Source organism: Homo sapiens, chromosome 22, assembly GCF_000001405.40.
Source record: "Homo sapiens chromosome 22, GRCh38.p14 Primary Assembly".
Classification (NCBI taxonomy): domain Eukaryota; kingdom Metazoa; phylum Chordata; class Mammalia; order Primates; family Hominidae; genus Homo; species Homo sapiens.
Window position 1 is genome coordinate 17036408 of NC_000022.11, and position 23691 is coordinate 17060098.

The 23691-nt window shown below is 44.0% G+C and overlaps 1 long non-coding RNA gene across 3 annotated transcripts, besides 5 other annotated features; it reads left to right on the forward strand.

Annotated features, from left to right (window-relative positions):
• The first annotated feature begins 162 nt into the window (after positions 1–162).
• On the forward strand, positions 163–23663 carry CECR7 (cat eye syndrome chromosome region, candidate 7). Of its 3 annotated transcripts, none has more exons than NR_015352.2 (4): positions 163–937; positions 8466–8593; positions 10917–11019; positions 20666–23663. It is a non-coding gene; the product is annotated as a cat eye syndrome chromosome region, candidate 7 (long non-coding RNA). The 3 variants fall into 3 exon arrangements; NR_152825.1 differs by having other exon boundaries at positions 20728–23663; NR_152826.1 differs by having other exon boundaries at positions 21110–23663.
• Positions 1475–1524: an enhancer, noted in NCBI's record as "active region_18609". NCBI's record gives its function as "activates an Ori minimal core promoter by ATAC-STARR-seq in GM12878 lymphoblastoid cells {active_cell/tissue: GM12878}" and the evidence as "EXISTENCE:reporter gene assay evidence [ECO:0000049][PMID:35858748]".
• Positions 1535–1694: an enhancer, noted in NCBI's record as "active region_18610". NCBI's record gives its function as "activates an Ori minimal core promoter by ATAC-STARR-seq in GM12878 lymphoblastoid cells {active_cell/tissue: GM12878}" and the evidence as "EXISTENCE:reporter gene assay evidence [ECO:0000049][PMID:35858748]".
• Positions 19173–19342: an enhancer, noted in NCBI's record as "experimental_62188 CRE fragment used in MPRA reporter constructs". NCBI's record gives its function as "activates a minimal promoter by MPRAs in K562 erythroleukemia cells, with activity observed for both the introgressed and non-introgressed 22:17536555 variant alleles {active_cell/tissue: K562}" and the evidence as "EXISTENCE:reporter gene assay evidence [ECO:0000049][PMID:34662402]".
• Positions 20448–20617: an enhancer, noted in NCBI's record as "experimental_62204 CRE fragment used in MPRA reporter constructs". NCBI's record gives its function as "activates a minimal promoter by MPRAs in K562 erythroleukemia cells, with activity observed for both the introgressed and non-introgressed 22:17537830 variant alleles {active_cell/tissue: K562}" and the evidence as "EXISTENCE:reporter gene assay evidence [ECO:0000049][PMID:34662402]".
• Positions 21622–22122: an enhancer, noted in NCBI's record as "H3K4me1 hESC enhancer chr22:17538919-17539419 (GRCh37/hg19 assembly coordinates)". NCBI's record gives its function as "activates a minimal SCP1, AML or CMV promoter by ChIP-STARR-seq in naive H9 embryonic stem cells {active_cell/tissue: H9 hESC(naive)}" and the evidence as "EXISTENCE:reporter gene assay evidence [ECO:0000049][PMID:30033119]".
• Positions 23664–23691: the final 28 nt, after the last annotated feature.

The window sequence follows — 23691 nt, forward strand, 5'->3', positions numbered from 1 at the left end:
TGTGGGCTCTCCGTCCTTTCCTTTGCTCCTGCGCGCTCTCTGGGGTGGGGGGCTCAGCGAGCTTCAAGAGGTGGCCGAGATTCCCCCACCCCGCCCCCAGATCCCCGGGAGAGGTCAGCACGGCCCCTCCCGTGGGTGTCACAGAGACCGATACCGGTCCCGCTCCCCGGGAAGGAGTGGGTCTGGGTCCAGTCCGCAGGACCCCCTCGCGGATGCTGACGCAGAATGGAGTTGAGGTGGGGGCAGCGCTGGACCCTAGGGCCCCTGCCTGCCTCCTGGGGAGCCCGGTGACCCAGGCAGCCCTGGTGAGGCCGCAGGAGTCTGGGCCCTAGCGACGCCCCCGGGCTCCCACAGGACGAATGTAGACGGTGAGGCCAAGGACGCCCTGCTGCCCTCGGGACTGTCCCTCCAGCCCCCAGCTTTCCGTGGTTATTGGGCCCCCTCTGCAGAGGGGCAGGGGAGCCCACCCTGGATCCTGAGGCGCCGAGCTTGAGGGACCCCAGAGCTCCAGCCAGGCCGCTTTCTTTGCGGATGGTGAAGCTGAGGTCCCGAGGAGGGCAGGGGCAGGTCCCGGGCGCTCCTCAGGCAAAGGGAGCCGATTTAGGGGCTGGGGTCACAGGAGGCGCTTCTGCGACCTCTAGGGCCCTAGAGCCCGGGAGGATGAGAGACTGGGGGCCTTTCGTCCACCCCTGGGGCTGGGCAGACGCTCAGCCTGTGCAACCCGAAGCTGCTTCTGCCCAGTCCCAGCCGCGGCCCCTTTAAGAGGGGGTGGTGCTTCAGCCTGGCGCCAGGGACGCTGCCAGCATGCAGGCCCCGACGGAAGCCGAGACTGCGCTTCGTGCGAGGCCCGGGCAGCATCGGCGGCGTGGTCAGAGCGAGTCTCGGAGAAGATGTGGTGGCTTCCGTTTGTTGGTGGAGGAGGTGGCAGGCCTCGGCGGTAAGTGGAGGGGGATGAACCCCACCTGGAACCCTCTGGGTCTCCCTACTCCTTCTCGGCCGCTCCCTGCTTTCGGGCCCTGACTTCTAAGTGGGCATCTGGGCCCGAGTCGTCAGCGTCGGGGCGGTTGTGGGATCCTGGCCTCGGCAGCGTCCACACCCCCGCCGGGAAGGCTATGCCCCTGTCCGACCCGCGTCCAGCCTATAGGAGCGCCCTGGCCCAGAGGCGGCGGTGAAGCGCTGGACTGGGTCCCTCCGAGCCCCACGGGCCTCTGAGCTGGGGCCTAGGGTTATTTTTTATGCCTCGGGACCTTTAGAAAGAGACCTCGCTAGAGCAGGGGACATCTGTAGTTTCAGTTCTTTGAGGAGTTTCCAGCTATTTAGCTGTTTTCCATGGTGTGTACCCTAATTTTCATTTCCACCTACAGTGTATGAGTTCCCCTTTCTCCAAAACCAAACCCCCATTCCAATTTGTTTTTGTTTTTTTGAGACGGAGTCTCGCTCTGTCTCCAAGGCTGGAGGGCAGTGGCGCCATCTCGGCTCACTGCAACCTCCACCTCCCGGTTTCAAGCAATTCTCCTGTCTCAGCCTCCTGTGTAGCTGGGACTACAGGCGCCCGCCACCACGCCTGGCTAATTTTTGTATTTTTATTTTTAGTAGAGACGGGGTTTCACGATATTTGTCAGGCTGGTCTGAAACTCGTGACCTCAGGTGATCCGCCCGCCTCGGCCTCCCAAAGTGCTGGGATTACAGGCGTGAGCCACGGCTCCCAGCCCCTCTTATTTTGAAAAATTTTTTCTAGGAATATTCAATAACTGTGAGATTATCTGCGTGTGGTTTTGAATTACAGTATTCTAATGAATAGTTAATTTTGAGGACCTTATCTCTTATCTGTTGTTCGATTTTATATCTGTGCAGAATTGTCCGTTCAGGTTCTTTGCGAAATATTAGATTGGATTCTTTTTCTACTTTGTAGTGTTTTTTGTGTACACGTTAGTTGACAACTCCTCGTGAATTACATGATTGCCTGAAATTTTTGCGTAATCTATAGGATGCTTTTTTATTTGGAAAGTAGTTTTCTTTGCTATGCAGAAACTTTTCACGTTGATGTAGTCCCATATGTTGTTTTTTTTTTTTTGCGTTTTATGCGTGTCATTGTGGTCACCCATATTAGAAAATATGCATCAGTAACAAAGCATTTAATTGTCAATGAGGTTTTTCTTCACAATTATCTAAGGTATTAGTTTTCTATAAGAATTGTTTTAAAATATTTTTGTTACCAGAGCAGTTGTATTATATTTCAAAATGTAAGATGATTTTTAAAAGCCTGAGTACCTAAGATGCAATTATATGAACTCTACTCTGGAGGGAGAGAAGGATGTCAGTGGACATTGTAAGACTTTTATGTTTTTGTGCCATCAAATATAGGTAAAAATATCAATAGTGCAATTCTGCTGTTTAAACAGGAACTATTGGCCTCCCTGGCCCTAAATGGAAGGGCTGATATTTTATGGTTGATTATTTTATGGTAAATTAATCCAACCTAATTCTTTTTAATTTGGTTGAATGTTTTTCTTGTTAAATAATGTTTAAAAAATAAAAACTGGAAGTTCTTGGCTTGATTTAAAAAAAAGAGAGATTCTGGTTGAGCTGAAATGGGAGTAGTCCAAAGCAATTATTATTATTATTCTTTTTAGACAGGGTCTTGCTCTGTCACCCAGGCTAGAGTGCAGTAGTGTGTTTAAAGCTCACTGAAGCCTGGACCTCCTGGGCTCAAGTGATCCTCCCACCTCAGCCTCACAAGTAGCTGGGACCCAGGCGTGCACCACCACACCCAGCTAATTTTTTATTTTTTGTAGAGATGAGGTCTCACTATGTTGCCCAGGCTGGTTTCAAACTCCCGGGCTCAAGCAGTCCCCCTGCCTCAGTCTCTGAAAGTGCTGGGATTACAGGCCTGAGCCACTGCAGCAGCTAATTTTTTTTTTTTCTGATTGAGTATAACATATTTTTTTTCCAAAGATGTCCTAACATATACCCATACCTATGTATCCATGAAATGTTGGCATGCCTCCATTGAGACTTGTTTTGTCTCCTTATTTATGTAAAATATAAAATGTACTATTTTCACCATTTTTGAGTGGTATCAAGTAAAGTCACAGAGCATACGATATTTGGTTTTCCATTCTGGAGTTACTTCACTTAGAATAATGGCCTCTAGCTCCATCCAAGTTGCTGCAAAAGACGTTATTTCATCAGTTTTTATGGCTGAGTAGTATCCCATGGTGTATATATACCACATTTTCTGTATCCACTCATTGGTTGATGGGCACTTAAGTTGTTTCCATATCCTTGCAATTGCAAATTATGCTATAAACATGCATGTGCATGTGTCTTTGTGTCTTTTTCATATAACTACTTCTTTTCCTTTGGGTAGATACCCAGTAATGGGATTGCTGGATAGAATGGTAGTTCTACTTTTAGTTCTTTAAGGACTCTCCATACTGTTTTCCATACTGGTTGTACTAATTTACATTCCCCCCAGCAGCGTAAAAGTGATCCCTCTTCACTACATTCAAGCCAACATCTATTGTCTTTTTACTGTTTAATTGTAGCAATTCTTGCAGGAGTAAGGTCATAGCTCATTGTGGCTTTAATTTGCATTTCCTTGGTGATTAGTGATGTTAGTGCCCTTTAAATAGAGACTCCAATAGTTTCTTTGTTCCATTCTCCATATGAGGCCACAAGACAGGTATCTTTTTATTTTATTTATTTATTTATTTATTTATTTATTTGAGATGGAGTCTCACTCTGTCACCCAGGCTGGAGTGCAGTGGCTCTATCTCGGCTCACTGCAAGCTCCGCCTCCCGGGTTCATGCCACTCTCCTGCCTCAGCCTCCCAAGCAGCTGGGACTACAGGCACCTGCCACCACACCTGGCTAATTTTTTGTATTTTTAGTAGAGACGGGGTTTCACTGTGTTAGCCAGGATGGTCTCGATCTCCTTACCTTGTGATCCGCCCACCTCAGCCTCCCAAAGTGTTTTTCTTTTTTATTTTTTTGAGACGGAGTCTCAAAAATTGAGCACAATTTCAGCTCACTGCAACCTCCGCCTCCTGGGTTCAAGCAATTCTTCTGTCTCAGCCTACGGAGTAGCTGGGACTACAGGTGCCCGCCACCACAGCCGGCTAATTTTTGTATTTTTAGTAGACATGGGGTTTCACCATATTGGTCAGGTCAGTCTCAAACTCCTGATCTCAGGTGATCCACTCACCTCGGCCTCCCAAAGTGCTGGGATTACAGGTGTGAGTCACCGTGCCCGGCCGAGGCCCCAACAAGACAACTATCTATGAACCCTTGCCAGACACCAAATTTGTTGGTGACTTGATGTTAAATTCCCAGCCTCCAGAACTCTAATAATGTCTGTTGTTTATAACCCACCCAGTTTATGGCATTTAGTTACAGCAGCCTGAATGGGCTAAGACAGTATGTGTGTAAATTACTTTCTTAGCACTGTGTTTGCTGCAATCTGTAAGTTTTGGTGTGTTATGTTTTTTATTTCTTTTATCTCAAGATAATTTCTAACTTCCCTTGTGATTTCTTTTTTGATCCATTGGTTAGTTACGAGTATGTCGTTTAATTTTTCTTTTTTTTTTTTTTCTTTTTGAGACAGGGTATCACTCTGTCACCCAGGCTGGAGGGCAGTGGTGCGATTTCTGCTCACTGCAACCTCCCTCTGACTCCCAGGTTCAAGCAATTCTCCTGCCTCAGCCTCCCAAGTAGCTGGGATTACAGGTGCCTGCCACCATGCCCAGCTAATTTTTGTATTTTTAATAGAGACGGGGTTTCACCATGTTGGCCAGGCTGGTCCCGAACTCCCAACCTCAAGTGATCTGCCTGCCTCGGCCTCCCAAAGTGCTGGGATTACAGGTGTGAGCCACCATACCTGGTCTAATTTTTCAAACATTGGAAAAATTTGTGATTTTTTAAAAAGTTTTCTTCTGTTAATTCATTTCATATGACTGGATATATGCCTTATATAATTTCTGTCTTTTAAAGTTGATTAATTCTTCTCCTCTGGCCTAATATATGGTCCATCCTTGAGAATGTTCCATGTGCACTTGAGAAAAATGTGTGTTCTTCTGCCATTGGATGGAGTGTTCTATATATGTCTGCTAAGTCCAATTGGTTTATGATGTTGTTCAAGTTCTTTATTTTCTTGGGGATCTTCAGTCTAGTTTTTCTACTCACTGTTAAAAGTGGCATATTAGAGCCGGGCTCAGTGGCTCACACCTGTAATCCTAGCGCTTTGGGAGGCCAAGGTGGGTGGATCACCTGATATCAGGAGTTCAAGACCAGCCTGGCCAACAAGGCAAAACTCTATCTCTACTAAAAATACAAAAAAAATAGCCAGACATGGTGGCAGGCACCTGTAATCCCAGCTACTTAGGAGGCTGAGGCAGGAGAATCACTTGAACCTGGGAGGCAGAGGTTGCAGTGAGCCAAGATGACACCATCGCACTCCAGCCTGGATGACAGAGCAAGACTTTGTCTCAAAAAAAAAAAAAAAAAGTGCCGTATTAAAGTCTCCAACTATTTTGTAGAACTGTATATTTCTTCCTGAAATTCTGTCAATGTTTGCTTCATGTATTTTGGAGCTCTGAAGTTTATTGCATATATGTTTATGATTATTATATTTCCTTGATGAACTGACCCTTCTATTAATATATAATATCCTTCTTTATCTTTTGCAATTGTTTTTGACGTAAAGTTTATTTTGTCTGATATTAGTATAACAACCCAAGCTCTCTTTTGGTTACTATTTGTGGGGAATATATTTTGCAACCTCTAACTTTCAACCTATTCATGTCTTTAAATCTAAAATGAGGCTCTTGTAGACAGTGCATATTTGGATCATGTTTTATTATTCATTTAGCCAATTCCTGCCTTTGGACTGGAGAGTTTACTCCACTTAACTATTGATAAGAAAGGACCTCTGCCATTTTGTTATTTGTCTTTCGTATGGCTTAATATTTTCTGGCCCTCATTTCCTTTATAACTGCCTTCTTTTATGTTTAGTTTCTTTTTTTTCCCCAAGACCAAGTCTCACTCTGTCACCCAGGCTAGAGTGCAGTGGCACGATCCCAGCTCACTGCAATCTCCGCCTCCTGCGTTCAAGTGATTCTCCTGCCTCAGCCTCCCAAGTAGCTGGGATTACAGACGCACAGTACCATACCCAGCTAATTTTATGTATTTAGTAGAAACAGGGTTTCACCTGTTAGCCAGGCTGATCTCGAACTCTCAACCTCTGGTGATCTGCCCGCCTCGGCCTCCCAAAGTGCTAGGATTACAGGCGTGAGCCACTGCAACTGGCCTATGTTTAGTATTCTGTTTTTTTGTTTGTTTGTTTTTTGTAGTGACATATTTTGTTCCCCTCTCATTTCCTTTTGTTTATATTCTATAAATATTTTCTTCATAGTTACTATGAATATTACATACAACATCCTAAGGTTGTAACAATCTAATTTGAATTAATACCTACTTAACTTCAATTGCATACAAAAACTTATGGTGGCTTATACCTATAATCCCAGCACTTTGGGAGGCCAAGGTGGGCGAATCACCTGAGGTCAAGGGCTCAAGACCAGCCTGGCCAACATGGTGAAACCCCATTGCTATTAAAAATACAAAAATTAGCCAGGCGTGGTGGCATGCGCCTGTAATCCCCGCTACTCAGGAGGCTGGGGCAGGAGAATCACTTGAAACCAGGATTGAACCCAGGATTGAACCCAGGTTTCAGTGAACCAAGATCTCACCACTGCACTCCAGCCTGGGTGACAGAGTGAGACTCTGTCTCAAAAAACAACAAACAAACAAAAAAAAACTCTACTCATGTACAGTCTTCCATTTATATTGTTGATGTAATCTTGTGCCTACCAACTTAGTCCACAAAGGCACTCACGTTGATCTAGTATCACAAGTGGAAAACAGTATTACTTGCCATAAACAGAAGGCAATTATAACTATAGGTTTTTTTAAAAAAACAAACAATTTTCTCATATTCTACCTAAATCCTATTCCCATTGAAAGCTCTGATCCTGAAGTGTATCTTCCTCTTGGGACTTCCAGAGAGTTCAAAGCATGTCAGCACTAAACTAAGAGTCAACCTGATATACTCAGAATAATTGGAAGTGAATCCAAAAAGGGAGGTGATTCAATGTTTTTAAAATGATTTTTCAGATAGCTCTTAAAACCATTTCATGTTCCACAAGAGATATTGCTTATGGTTCAAGTGAATAGGTTGTGAAGCAAGAATTAAATTTAAATACCAACCCTCTCAGTGAGCAGCTGAGTGACTTTGAGGAAGTGAATGTGCCTCTCTGAGCATGAAGTTTTTCTTATTTAAAATGGGCTACAAAAAAGTGCCAGCTTCACACAAAAACATGTATGCAAATGTACATAGCAGCTTTACTCAAAATAACCAAAACCTGGAGACAACCCAGGTTTTGAAAGGCCTAGAGATGCCTTTCAGTAGGTAAATGGTTAAACAAAAACTGAGGTACACCCACAACATGGAATACTGTTCTGCAATAAAAAGGATCAAACCATTGATGCACACAACTTGGATGAGTCTCTAGAGAATTATGCTAAAAAAAACCAACAATCCCAAACAGTTGTACACTATTAAATTATATTTATATAACACGCTTGAAACAACAAAATTATAAAAATAGAGAACAGAGTAGTTGTTAGCAAGGGGTTAGGGATGGGGAGAGGAGAGGAAAAGAGAAGAAAAAGGAGGTGGATATGGTTATAAAAGAGCAACATCAGAGATCTTCCTGATGTGCTGGTGAATGCACAAACCTATATATGTGATAAAACTGCATAAAAATAAATACACCCATACACACACACAGGTACAAGTGAAACGGGAGATCTGAAGATTGGTGGATTGTATCAACATCAGGATTCTGGCTGAGATACTGAACTATAGTTTGCAAGATGTTGCCACTATGGAAAACTACTAAAGAGTACAGGGGCATCAATCTGTATTATTTTTTATAACTGCATGCAAGTCCACAATTATCTTAAAATGAAAAGTTAACTTTAAAAATACCACCCTCATAGGCTCTCTGTGAGGATCAAATGAGATAGTATTTAGGGAAGAAAATTCACTCAGCAAATGTTTATTGACCCCTCTCATCTGTCCAGACACTGTGTGAATGCTGAGCTTACAGCAGGGAACAAAGTTCACACTATAATAGAAATTTTATTCTAGTATAGTGTCACATAAAAGCGAATTGATATTTTTTAATTTGTCATTGAAATTGGTATAATCACGACCACTCATAGAACAGTAGCATGCATCGTGTGCCTACGTGTAATGAAAATAGACTCAGAGAGATGGCAAAATTTGCCCAGGTACCAGGTAGAACCAGAGGCAGAATTGAAACCCAGATTGGAACCCGAGGTTGTGGCTCATCATCTCTAAATTCACTGCCTTCAACAAAGAAGTTCTCTCCCCTTTGTAGGGTAACCCAGAGAACACAGCCGAAGTGGAATGTGGGGACGTCTGCGACACCGGGGACAGAGCAACTGTGGATGAAGAGGGCTACATCTGGTTCCTGGGGAGGAGTCATGACACTATCAATGCCTCTGGGTAGGTGTGACTGATGCCAGGCTGGCTGTTGTCATCCTCATATGCCTCCTGGGATCTTGCTTGCCCAGACAGTCTTTCATGCATTGGTGACAGGACCCTCAGCCCAATTTGAATAGAGCCATGTCTACAATGCCCTGATCCCAGGTTTTGGTGCACCTCCCTAACCCCTGCATACAGAAGAATCAATCAAAATGAAATTCAAGAGTGTCTTGAAGACATAATAAGACACTGTGCAATTTAGAGAAGGGCCTTGGAATGAGACTGAGAAGGAAGACTCTGTTTTGGTCCCCATAGGTTCAGGGAGCTTATTTCATGTGTGTGCTCCTCTAATGCAGCACAGGATGTCACAGAACAAACATAGTAATAATAACAACTAACCTTTAGCTATTGTTTATTTTTTATTTATTATTATTATTAATCTATTATAAATCTATGAATACAACAAATCTATTAAGATAGATTATTATAAATCTATTATTTGTTATAATTATTTAGCTAACCTGGAGTACTTACTATGTGAAAGCACTGTTCTTAATGCTTTATATAACTCACCTCTCAATGCTGGAAGGGAGATGCGATTATTACCCCTATTTTACTGGTGAGGAAACTGGGTGGCTGACCAGTGAAGAAATTTGCCTGAAGTCTCAAAGATAGCACAGGGTGCAATCCAGATTTGAACTGAGGCAGGCTGGCTCTGAGACCCTGTCCGTAACCCCTACATGATTTTTTAAAAAGATACATTACACTACAGTAACAATCTCTCTTGGATATTTTAGAGAAATGGATGTGATTTTTTTAAAATTTCTGAAATGTGATGTACTGGAAATTTGCAGAGAGTAGATTTTAAATGCTCTTACCACAAAAGAAAAAAAAAGAGGTAATTACGTGAGATAATGGATATACGAGAGCCTGAGTGTAGTAATCGTGCTACTATGTATATGTACATCAAAACATCATGTTTTATGCCTTGAATATATTTAATAAATGCCAAAAATCATGCTGATTCAATGGGAAATAGTGTGCAGAATTTGCACAAATGTTTAAGACCAAGTTTGAGGCTTCCAAGAGATTTCGTGTCTGGTGAAGCTGCATGGGCCAAGGGCCCAGGGAACTAAGCATTCGCCCTTCTTTGTCAATAAAGGCAGTGAGGCGAGAAGCCCTGGGAGCACCTACAATGTCCAGGTCTTCAAATTTTGGGCCCGTGGCACAGACAGATCAGGAGTCTCTGGGTCCCTATGACCTCTGCCCTCTGTGCCAAGGGAAGCTGTGACTCTCCAAAGCAGGAGATTTGAGGACTTGGTTCACCCCAGCCCTGGCATCTACCCCAGAACCCTTCATCCTCCAGGTACGGCATTGGGCTACAGAGGTGCAGCGTGCTTTGGTGGACCACCCAGTGGTGGCAGAGTCAGCCACGGTGAGCAGCCCAGACCCGATTCAAGGGGAAGTGAGGAGGGCACAGAGATCATTGTGTCTGTACATGGGCACTAGGAAAGCAAACGCCCGGGAAACTTCCAGGCCTTACCTGGGCAACCTTGGGGGAAGGAGGGCATAGTGTGCCTGTGCACTTACACAGTATAGTGACTTGGGGGCACTGCGGCCTCTCTGTGGCTCTGAAGATAAAGATGACAGATTATATTTAGTGAGCACTTAATACATGCCAAATAATTTAACTCTCACAAAATGGAATAATCTAAGAGCTCTTCTACTCTTTGTAGATGAGGAAAGAGGAGCAGAAGGAAGTTAAGTAATCTGTCCACATCACACAGCTACTAAGGGGTGGAGCCAGAATGGCATTTCAGCAACGTGGCTGAAGAACATACGTGCATTTGTTTATTAAAAAGTGTTTATTGAGCACCTTCTATATGCAAGGCCTTGTACAATAAAATGGGGATAACACTACTAATATATGAATAATAAATTGTCAATAATTATCAAATACCCATTGGGTTACAGGCACAGGGTGGTATATATAATAATAGTAAAAATAATGATGAAAGTACTGATGACAGGGATAATAATGTAAACTACCTGGATGTTTTATATGTATTATCTCATGGAAGCTTTAAAGAAACCAAATGAGGAATGGAATCTTTATTATTCCCATTTCACAGAGAAGGAAACTGAGGTTAAGGAGAGGTCAAGTAACTTTTCAAGGCATGGAGTGGACATTGGAAGTACAGGCATTTGCACCTGGTCCTCTTATTTTCCAAAACTACTGTAGGGTCCAACGTCACCTTGTTTTTCCACTCATTCAATAAATACTGACTTTTTATGCTATGTAATAGGTTGACACTCATCATGAGCCTCTGCCCTCGTTCTGCAGGTGGTGAAGGCATTGATTGTCCTGACCCCACAGTTTCTGTCCCATGACAAGGACCAGCTGACTAAGGAGCTGCAGCAGCATGTAAAGTCAGTGACAGCCCCATGTAAGTACCCGAGGAAGCTAAGTGAGGGCAGATGGAAGGGGTCAGTTCCCAGTACTCCTGCCCCATGTCTCCTAGGGTGGCTGTGCAGGGGGAAGCTTGGAGACTCACAGTAGTGGCTTTTTTTTCTGCATAAGAAGCAATTTGGCTTAGGGATGGGGTGTTCTCTTAAAAATGTATTTAAACTGACAAATTAGAAAATGATCTATTAAAAGCAAGGAGACATAGATAAATCCTAATTCAGGTGATTACAACAAATATTTCTTAAGCACTTTCTATATGCTGGCAATTTATAAGAGTGTTTAAGATAAATCTAGTATAAATGCTGAACTCAGGAGAGTAAGAAAATGACAAATACTTATAGGACAGCCCATGCGATATTACAAGCACATGCAATGTTGTGAAATAACACAGAGGAGGGCATAATTAACTCTGCAAGAGTTAGGAGGAGGTTCAAAGAGGAGGGCCTAGTGAGTAGGCATTTTCAAGATGTAAAGGAATAGAGGGGATGATGTGGAAAGAGGAAGAACCTCTCAAAACAAGACAGGGCTGGGCTTGGTGCCTCACACCTGTAATCCCAGCACTTTGAGAGGCTGAGGCAGGATGATCAGTTGAGCCCAGGAATTTGAGACCAGCCTGAGCAACACAGCAAGAACCCTGTTTCTATTTAAATAAGTTTAATATATTAAAAAAAGACAACAGAGTAAACAAGAAGCACTGAGGCATGAGACAACATGACATGCAAAAGACAGTAAAGTTGAACTAGTAACATAATTTCTAATGTCTCCAAATGACGAAAGTAGCATACAGCTCTTAAAACTGACATGAGAAAGTGCATTTAGTGACTTCAGTCTTTGGTGGAAGTTCCTAGTGTATGAAATGGAACAGATGAGAAAAGGCCTTGGTTCCCATGCTGTGGGAATAGGGAACTGGTGAAGGGCTAAGTATCAGAGGACGTGTAATTCAGATAAATCACTCCGTTGGTTACCTGGAGGGTGAATTTGAGGAGAATGAGACTGGAGGCAGGAGCAAGGCAGTACCAGTGCAGGTGAAGAAAGAACATAGGTAGAACTTGGCCACCAATTAGAAAAGGTGAGAGGAGGAGCCAAGGAGAGGGAAACATGTGGGATCACGGCCAGGTTTCAGGCTGGAACAGGACAAATGGCAGAAGCATCCAATATTGAAAATAGAGTCAGAGGAGCCTTCTTGAGTGGAGAGGGATAACAGGGCATTCTAGGACAGGATGGGTTTGAGATTTCTTGACATATCTGAGTGGAAAAGTCTTGGAAGCATGAGGCCACACCAGAGCTCAGTGAGGGCAAGAAGATAGGGAGTGTGGAGTCATCAGCTTGCAGGTGACAGCTGAAGCCATTCTCCCACTTCAGGAGAGAAGCACATGAGCAAAGAGCTGAGATTCCTGGAGAACACCAACATTCCCAAGTGAGCTGAAAGAGAGAATTCGGAGGAGGGCCAGAGGGAAAATTAAATGGAAGAGTGTGCTGTAGAGATAGCACTGTGATCCAGGGCTTGATCTTTGAAGGCAGACTGCCTGAATGACAGTTTCCTTTTCTGTAAATGAGAGTGAAATTATCTACCCATGCATGGAAAAAAACCCTCAACAAACTAGAAACAGGAGGGAACTTCATCAGCATGATGAAAAGCATCTGTGAAAACCTAACAGTTAACAGATTTAATGGTGCAAGACTGAATGCTTTCCCCTAAGATTGGGAACAAGACAAGGATGGCCATGTTCAGCAGGTCTATGCAGCCTTGGTTCTGACCAGGATGATTAGGCGATTGATATATAAAAGGATCCAGATTAGAAAGGAAAAAGTAAAACTGTCTTACTCCCAAATGTCATGATCTTGTATACAGAAAATCCTAAGGTATCCAGTTTAAAAAAAAAACAAAACTAGAACTAGTTCAGCAAGTTCACAAAATCAGCATACAAAAATCAATTGTATTTCTGTACACTAGCAATGAGAAATCCAAAAATGAAATTCAGAAAATTATTCCATTCACAATAGCATCCCAAAGAATAAAGTACTCACTGTGGAAAGAAACTAAAAAAGAACTAAATAAATGAAAGATATTCCATGTTCATGGATCAGAAGACTAAATATTATTGTCAGTACTCATCAAATTAGTCTACAGGATCAACCTGATTCCTATCAAAATCCCAGCTACCTTTTCTGCAGAAATTGACAAGGTGATCCTAAAATTCATATGGATATGCAAAGGACACAGAATAAGCAAAATAATCCTGAAAAAGAAGAACAAGATTGGAGGACTTATCTTCCTAATTTCAAAACTTGCTACAAAGTAATCAAGAGGGTATGGTACTGTCTTAAGGACAGATGTATAGGTCACTGGAATATAGTTGAAAGCTCAGGCTGGGCACTCATGCCTGTAATTGCAGCACTTTGGGAGGCTGAGGTTGGGGGATCCTTTGAGGTCAGGAATTCAAGACCAGCTTGGGCAACATAGACAGTGAGACCTGTCTAAAAAAATAAAAATTAAAGACAAATTTGATTAGCCAGGCATGGTGGTATAGGCCTGCTGTCCCATCTAGTCAGGAAGCTGAGGTGGGAGGATCTCTTGAGCCTAGGAATCTGAGAATGCAGTGAGCTATGATTGGCTACTACACTCCAACCTGGGGAAGAGAGAGAAAACGTATCTGTAAAAGAAAATAAAGCCAAGTGTGGTGTCTTATGCCTGTAATCCCAAAACTTTAAAGGGCCAAGGAGAGAGGATCCCTTGAAACCAGGAGTTTGACACCAGCCTGGGCAACATAACAAGACTCTGTAACTATGAAAATTAAATTAAATTAAATTTAAAACTATGGCTGGGTGTGGTGTAATCCCAGTACTTTGGGAGGCTGAAGTGGGTGGATCACCTGAGGTCAGGAGTTCGAGACCAGCCTGGCCAACATGGCAAAACCCTGTCTCTACTAAAAATACAAAATTAGCCAGGCGTGGTGGTGTGTGCCTGTAACACCAGCTACTCCAGAGGCTGAGGCAGGAGAATCACTTAGAACCTGGGAGGCAGAGGTTGCAGTGAGCTGAGATCACACCACTGCACTCCAGCCTGGGTGATGGAGGGAGACTCTGTCTCAAAAAGAAAAAAAAAAAATTAGCCAGGTATGGTGGCACACACTTGTCGTCCCAGCTACTTAAGAGACTGAGGCAGGAGGATGAATTGAGCTCAGGAGTTTGAGGCTGCAGTGAGCTATGATCACACCACTGCACTCCAGACTGGGCAACACAATAAGACCCTGTCTCGAAAAAAAATGAATTGATTAACTGAAAAATAATTGAAATCCCGGAAAGAAACCATTACATTTAAAGTCAATTGATTTGACAAAGGGGTCAAGAAACTTCATTTGGAAAGGAATAGTCTTTTCTTTTTTTGTTGTTTTTCATTTTGTAGAGACACATGTCTCACCATGTTGCCCAAGCTTATCTTAAACTCCTGGAGTCAAGCAATACTCCTGCCTTGGTCTCCCAAAGTGCTGGGATTACAGGTATGATCCACTATGTCCAACCATGAATAGTCTTTTCAACAAATGGTGGTGGGGCAATTGGATATTCATGTGCAAATAAATTAATTTGGGTCTCTGCCTAACACCATACACAAAAATTAACTGAAAATGGATCACAGACCTAAATGTAAAAACTAAAACTATAAAACTCTTAGAAAAAAACACAGGAGTAAATCCTTGTGATCTTGTGTAAGGCACTGATGTCTTAGATGCAATGTCAAAAGCACAGTTCAAGACCAGCTGGGGCTAAATAATGAGACCTGGAAAAGGAGGAAAGGGAAAAAGTGAGAAAATGAAAAATGGCAAATTGAACATCAGCCAAATTTAAAACTTTGGCACATCAAAAGATACAATCAAAAAAGGGAAAGACAGCCCACAGAATGAGAGAAAATATTTATAAATCATATGTCTAATAAGTGATATATCCAGAAGAACTCTTACAACTCAATATTAAAAGACAATCCAGCTTAAAAATGGGAAAAGAACATGAATAGACATTTCTCCAAAGATGATATATTAATGTCCAATAAGCACATTAAAAAGTGTTTAACATCAGTCACTAGGAAAATGCAAATCAATCCACAATGGGATGTCGCTTTACACCCACTAGAATGAATACAACCAATCAAGACAGATAACGCCAAGTGCTGGAGAGGAGGTGGAGAAATCGAAACCCTCATACACTGCCAGTGGGAATATAAAATGGTGCAGCCACTTTTTTGGAAGATAGTATGTCAGTTTCTTAAAATGTTAAAAATAAAACTGCTTTAAACCCAGCAACTTTACTTCTAGGTATCTACCCAGGGAAAATAAAAATGTATGTCGACACAAAGACTTGTATGTGAATATTCACAACACCATTCACAAGAATCGAAAGGTGGAGACAACTCAAATGCCCATCTACTGACAAAGGGATTAAAATGTGGGATATACAAAGGAATACTACTCAACAATCAAAAGGAAGTTCTGAGGCACACTACCACAGTGGTCACCCTCAACAACACAATGCTTCATGAAAGAAGCCAGATGCAAAACAACACACATTGCATGATTCAGTTTATATGAAATGTCCAGGACAGCCTCGTATAGGGACAGAAAGCAGATTACTGGTTGTCGAGGGCTGGGAATAAGACTGAAAAGTGACTCTGATAGGCACAAGTTTCTTTCTTGGGATGACAAAATGTTCTAAAACTAGATTTCGGTGATGGTTACATAATTCCATAAATATACTAAATATACTAAAAATCGTTGAATTGGACCAGGCACAGTGGCTCACACCTGTAATCCCAGCACTTTGGGAGGCCAAGGCAAGAGGATCACTTGAGCCCAGGAGTTCAAGACCTGTCTGGGAAACATAGAGACTCCATCTCTACAAATAGTTTTTTTAAAATTAAACAGGTGTGGTGGCACAAGCCTGTAGTCTCAACTACTCAAGAAGCTGAGGCAGGAGGATCACCTGATCCCAGGAGGTTGAGGGTGCAGTGAGCCATGATAGCACCATTATGCTCCAGCCTTGGTATCAGAGTGAGATCTTGTCTCTCACACACACACACAAAAATCATTGAATTGTACACTTAAAATAGGTGAATTTTAGTATGTAAATTAGACCTCTATAAAGCTGTTAATTTTCTTAAGGTTTTTTTTTTTTCTTTTTTCTTTTTTTTTTTTTTGAGACAGAGTTTTGCTCTTATTTCCCAGGCTGGAGTGCAATGGCACGATCTCAGCTCACTGAAACCTTCGCCTCCCAGGTTCAAGCGATTCTCCTGCCTCAGACTCCCAAGTAGCTGGGATTACAGGCTCCTGCCATGAAGCCCAGCTAATTTTTTGTATTTTTAGTACAGACAGGGTTTCACCATGTTAGCCAGGCTGGTCTCGAACTCCTGACCTCAGGTGATCCACACACCTCAGCCTCCCAAAGTGCTGGGATTACAGGCGTGAGCCACTGCACCAGGCAATTTTTTTAAGTTTTAAAATTACAATATTTACCCCTAGCACCAAGATTGTCTCAAAATACCACTAAAAGAAAACAAGCCTTCCTGGAGAGAGTGCTGATTCCAGGTCTAGGCCAGAAATGTATAAGATAAGCCTGGAACACTGTCACTCTGGATAGCAAGGAATCTATCAAAGATTAGGATGCTTTCAACACGTCTGAAGAGCCAATCTGAAGGGACTCCTTCTAACCAAAGATAGGACATTTTATACATTAATAAGGATAATAATTGCAGTGGATTGAAATACATCAAATGTGTTTGAATGTCTGCATTCATAATGATTCTTTATAAAAAATAAAAGTGGGTTGGCCAGCCACAAGGGCTCATGCCTGTAATCCCAGCACTTAGGGAGGCCAAGGCAGGAAGATCACCCGAGGTCAGGAGTTCGCAACCAGCCTGGCCAACCTGGTGAAACCGCATCTCTACTAAAAGTACAAAATTAGCTGGGTGTAATGGTGCATGCCTGTAATCCCAGCTACTCAGGAGGGTGAGGCAGGAGAATCACTTGAACCCAGGAGGTGGAGGTTGCAGTAAGCCGAGACCTCGCCATTGCGCTCCAGCCTGGGCAACAGAGCAAGACTCCATCTCAAAAAAAAAGAATAAATAAATAAATAAATGTGGGCTGGGGACAGTGGCTCATGCCTTTGGGAGGCCGAGGCAGGAGAATCACTTCAGCCCAGGAGTTCAAGACCAGCCTGGACAACACAGGGGGACCCTGTCTCTACAAAAAATGTTTTAAATTACTCAGGCTTAAGGGCCCATGTCTGTGGTCCCAGGTACTCAGGAGGCTGAGATGGGAGGATTGCCTGAGCACAGAAGTTTGAGGCTGTGGTGGCATGATTGTCCCACTGCATGCCAGCCTGAGCAACAGAGCTAGACCGTCCCTGTCTAAATAAATAAACAAATAAAAGTAGTCACCATCAAAGGATATAAATGAAGCAGACCATCATTTTGAAAAATGGTAAACAAAAAGAACAAATCAAGCCACTAACTGGCCTTTTCTATATAAATTGTACAACTGGGTAGCACAATAATTTATAAGAAGCTGCATCTCTTTTTTATATTTACTTTTTTTTCTTCATGGAAGGCCCTTCTCAGGGTAGCAATATTTCTTTCTGGAAGTATGGCAGCTCATAAATGAAGAAGGAATGATATAACAATACCATCATTGTTCAATCCATAATTGATCACTGGCTGTTAACATTATAAAAAAAAAAAGGTGGCCAGAGAGTACACACCTCCTGCTGGAAGAACTTAGCACAGTCTTTTTGCCTTGACCCCTCAAATCCAACATGAATCTGATCAAGCTTTCAGATCAAACTACTAATTTATCAAAACTAGAACAAAGTGAAGAACAAGTTAATCAACATCACAAGGATACAATTAGCCAAATTCAAACTACCAGAAATAGCATAATGAGAATACAGTTAGCATAATCCAAACTATGGGGAAACTGCCTAATTTATTAAATAAACTGCAAGAGACAAAAAAGAGATCAAGTGGGGAAGCTTTCAGGATCAAAAAAAAGCTAAGATACGAATGAAGCAATCCAAAAGAGAGACTTTATTTGGATCCTGATTCAAACAAACAAAAAAAATATGAAATTACTGGAAATTTGGAGCTAGCAGGGGAGTTGACAATATTAAAGAGCAATGGTGTGGGATGGTTGGTTGAACATGGTATTGGGATTATGTTTTTAAAAGAGTTCTTGTCACCAGGAAAGTGGTTCATACCTGTAATCTCAGTATTTTGGGAGGCCGAGGCAGGAAGATCATTTGAAGCTGGGAATTCTAGACCAGCCGGGCAACATAGCAAGACCCTGTCTCTACTAAAATAAAAATTAAAAATTAGCTGGGCATGGGGGTGTGGGTCTATAGTCCCAGCTACTTAGGAAGCTGAGGCAGGAGGGGTCAAGGCCACAGTGAGCCATAATCGTGCCACTGAATTCCAGCCCGGGCGACAGAGGCCTTGTCTTGAAAGAACAAAACAAGAATCCTTATCTTTTACAGACATATACCAAGACATTCAGGGAGGAAATTATATGATATGTGGGATTTGCTATAAAATAACGAGAGGAAGAGGAGAAGCATGCAGGAGTGTACATGAAACAAGATTGGCCACGAGATGACAAATATCTGAATCCGCTGATGAGTAGGTGAAAGCTCACTACGCTAGCCTCTTGTTTAAAATGCTCCAGAATAGAAAGTGTGTCTGAAAATCCACTTCATGGGTTTGTAGCAAGCATTGAATAAGATCATGTATACAGAGTGCTTTATAACCATGGCTTACAGGTAGTCAGTACACATTGTTTTTAGTTTTGTATACTCCCCGTCCATTAATCACATCCAAAAAAGGTATGTTATTCACACTAAGAGCTCTGGCCCATGGACCTTTGTCCACTTGGTGGTAATTTATTGAAATTTGGGGTTTAGAATGAGGAAATGCCAGCCTTCAGAGCCCCAGGCTTACTATGCAACAGCAAAGCCAACAGTCCCAAATGCCTTCCTAGCACACCTAGTAAGTAGGATCACTTTCCTCTCACCTTGTAGGCATACTTGAGTTCATTCACTCATTCATTCACTATTTTTCATTCATTTCTTATGTGCCAGGTATTGGGTGTTAGGAATCCATAATACAGTGAACCCATAATTGACTGCAAGCATCACTTTCAAAGCATCATTTCAGGATGAGAATTTAAGTGCCAAGTGAATTCAAGGAACAGTGCAAAGGATCCATGGCCTCAGTCACCATGAAGACCCTCCCAAGAGCCAGCCCTACTGGGCACATATAAATGAGTGGAGACCTGGAATTCACCCTTACAAAGCCTAGAACCTGACAGAGCACACAAGACAAAAGCCCAAATAACCAAGAACAGGGAGCAGAATGTGAGAGGTGGGCCCCAAAGGATTCAGCCACCAAGGTGGAGAAAGTAATGTGTGCAGAGTGGGGAGTAGTCAGGTTTGGCTGAAGCAAGCAGGCATTTGGGGAGAGGTGGAAACTGAGGCTGGAATGGTCTCCTAGGGCCCTGTATGGAGAAGGTCAGGTTCAGGCATCTGAATCCCATTCAGTAGCAAGAGAGTCACTCCATGGTGCCAAGCAAGGGCTAACAGGCTTAGGACAAGATTCAGGAAGAGGCCTCTTGCAGCAAGTGGTCAAGCCCAGGGACCACTCATGGAAGGCCTATCCCCGCCTGGCACTGCACCTTCAAGTTCACATCACATGGCCATGTGCACATTCATACACAACCATGTGCATGTTCACACACAGTCATATGCATGTTCACACAACCATGTGCATGTTCACACACGACCATGTGCATGTTTACACGTGGCCACATGCATGCTAATGCACAATCATATGCATGTTCACACATCACCATGTGCACATTGAAACATGACCATATGCATTTTCACATGCTCAGTGACTCACAGATTCATAAGACCTGAGACGGACGTGCATTTTGGGAGATCCAACTTTAGGATATGGGCTCACTGTCTCAGCACATGCAGACCAGGCCTGAACTCTATTCAAGAAAGCTGCCTGCCAGTTTATAGCAGGGGTTAGCAAACCTTTTCCATGAAGAGCCAGTTAGGAAATGTTTGAGGCTTTGCAGAACATGTGGTCTCTTGCAACTACTCAACTCACTAAAGCAACAATGGACAACACATCCGTGAAGAAGCATGGCCGTGTTCTGGTAAAACAAAACTTGGCTGCAGTTTGCCCATGCCCAGCCTAGAGTTTGTAGCCTCTTCCCAGAGAGAGGGAATCTGACAGATTCCCAAATCTGTCAGAGACTAGGAAGTCTCCTTCAGAAGGACACCCCTCCAAGCCTGAGGATCCATCCACCCACAGGAGGCCTGGCACAACTCATTCCCCACTCAGCTTGGTGCAAGCTAACCCTATCAGGCCCTGCCACTGTTATCCTTGCTGACCACCCCCAGTGTCCTCTCAAGTGGAGGCTGCCTGCTTCTCATGTCCTCCGCCACAGGGTCAGGCACTGCACCCACCCCTTCCAGCCCCACAGGAGCCCCTCTCCCCAGCCCTGGCCTGCTGCCACCCGACCCCCTCACCAGGGAGCCCCTGCACATCCAGTTGAGCCCAGATGGCATTCCTTTAGGAAACCTCCTCGACACTCCGAAGTCCAGATCGCAGGCCCCACCTGGAATGCTCTCCTTGCAGCCTGTTCGAAGACTCATGAGACCGTGCTGCACACTGGACTTCAACCATGAGCTTCACCGTCTGTCTCTTCCTTCACTACCTTCGCTCTGCACTAGGCCATAAGCTCTGTAGGAGAAGGAACTCATCACAGTGCCTGCCCCAGACAGGTTGTTCATAAGCACGTATTGAAATATAGAATTCCCAGGCACCTCCAACAGAGAGACTGGACCTTGTGAGACCCAACAAGAAGCCAGTATTTCAGAACTGATGAAAAATAGCAAGGATCTAGATTAGGGGGTATAGTGGGAATGAAATGGGGGACTGGGTGATGCCCCATATTTGTCAACGACTCATAGTCTTTCTCCAGAGATGTCTTCCTCCCCTGTGTTCTTTGTCTCATCAGCTGCCACCAGCACTCACTCCAGCCACTAAAGCCAGAAAGTTGAAAGACCTCTGCCCTCATCCGGCCCAGCCCCCATCCAGCCAAAGACCTGTCATTTCAACCTCACGCCCACCCCGCTTTCCACTCCCACTGCTCCTGCCTTAGTTCAGACCACCACCGTCGCTCTCCTACCCAGTTCAAGCCAAGCTGACCTGGCCAGTGGCCTTCAGGCCTTCCCTTCTCCATCCTGCCATGTCCATCCTCCACAGGCAGAACAGGAAGCTGTCATGTAAAAGTGCAGGTCTGCTTTGGTCCTTCTCCTAAACCCTTCAGTGGCTTCCCGGTTCCCTTTGGGTCCTGGTACAGATTCCTTAGCATGGCCAGGGAGGACAGCCCTCCATGATCCTCCCCTCCCTGAGATGTTCCTCCTGCCCCAGCACCCTGTGTTTGAGCCCAAGCCCGCCCTGTGGTGTCACGGGAGGCCCAGCTCCTCTGCCTGGGGTGCCTTGCCTGGCCTAGGAACTGGGAAAACTTACCTGCTTCCAAGACTCAGCTCTAGCACCTCTTCCTGCTGGGTGTTTTCCGATGCCCCCCCTCTCGCCACCTCATGGGGACCCCACAGTCCCCTGAAGAGCCTTCTGCCCCAGTGCCTCACCCCACTCTTTAGACCTGTTTCTGTTTCCATGGCTGCCTTGCCTTCTTAGACCACGGGCTCCTGCAGAGCGGGACCCCATATCTCAGTCGGCTTTGCATTCCCAGTGCCTGGCCGAAACTGAGGCTGGAATGGTCTCCTATTCCATAAGCTCTCAATAACCCTTGAAAAATGACTGGAATCCTGGACAGCGCCAAGGCAGCAACTGGGATGGGAGAGTGATCTGCTGCCCTCTCCTGGCAATGTGAGGAATTGTCCTAAGCACAGACAACTCCCTCCCTGCCTTGCACAAGTGCAGGATGGGGGAAACTGGAAAAGGAGCTGATGGAGGATTGGGGAGGTGGATGCTGTCTAAGGAGACAAACTGAATTGAGGGGTTGCTGGGACTCGGCCGGCTCACATGCTATTCCCATGTCATGGGCCCAGGGGCCAAGTCAGTGCTTCCAAAGGAGGGTGCATCCTGAGAGAGGCTCTGGCTCCCCCAACAAAACCCTAAACTCTTGAAGGACATCTTCCTTCTCAGTATACCCTATTGCTGTGTTGTTGTAACTATCACTGTAACTTTTATTCACTTCAGTGGGCGATCACTGAGTTTTTCCTCCATTGTTGTAAAACATGTGTTTTGCTCTTGTGTGTAAAATGACTGTGAATTTAGCCACTGCCTTCTCCTGATTTTAACTCAGCTTTCTACTGCTAGGAGGTTATCTCTGTTCTGGGTTTCTCAGCTTTCTATCAAAACCCAAATACTGTCATTCCTCGGTATCCGTAGGGGATTGGTTCCAGGAACCTCCCTTGAAGATACCAACATTGCAGGTGCCCAAGCCCCTGATAGAGAACAGCGCAGCATTTGCAGACAACCTATGTACACACTGCATGCACTTTCAATCAGCTCTAGATTACTTCTGATACCTAATTCAATGTAAATGCTGTGTCAGTAGTTGTCTAGGGAATAATGACAAGAAGAAAATTTTGTACATGTTCAGTACGTAGGAAAAAGAAAGAGAGATCAGACTGTCACTGTGTCTATGTAGAAAGGGAAGACATAAGAGATTCCATTTTGAAAAAGACCTGTACTTTAAACAGTTGCTTTGCTGAGATGTTGTTAATTTGTAGCTTTGCCCCAGCCACTTTGCCTTAGCCACTTTGACCCAACCTGGAGCTCACAAAAATATGTGTTGTATAAAATCAAGGTTTAAGGGATCTAGGGCTGTGCAGGATATGCCTTGTTAACAAAATGTTTACAAGCAGTATACTTGGTAAAGGTCATCGCCATTCTCTAGTCTCAATAAAACAGGAGCACAGTGCACTGCGGAAAGCCGCAGGGACCTCTGCCCTTGAAAGTGGGGTATTGTCCAAGGTTTCTCCCCATGTGATAGTCTGAAATATGGCCTCGTGGGATGAGAAAGACCTGACTGTGCCCCAGCCCGACACCCATAAAGGGTCTGTGCTGAGGTGGATTAGTAAAAGAGGAAAGCCTCTTGCAGTTGAGATAGAGGAAGGCCACTGTCTCCTGCCTGCCCCTGGGAACTGAATGTCTCGGTATAAAACCCGATTGTACATTTGTTCAATTCTGAGATAGGAGAAAAACCGCCCTATGGTGGGAGGCGAGACATGTTTGCAGCAATGCTGCCTTGTTATTCTTTACTCCGCTGAGATGTTTGGGTGGAGAGAAACATAAATCTGGCCTACATGCACATCCGGGCATAGTACCTTCCCTTGAACTTAATCATGACACAGATTCTTTTGCTCACATGTTTTTTGCTGACCTTCTCCTTATTATCACCCTGCTGTCCTACTACATTCCTTTTTGCTGAAATAATGAAAATAATAGTCAATAAAAACTGAGGGAACTCAAAGGCCGGTGCCAGTGCAGGTCCTTGGTGTGCTGAATACTGGTCCCCTGGACCCACTGTTGTTTCTCTATACTTTGTCCCTGTGTCTTATTTCTTTT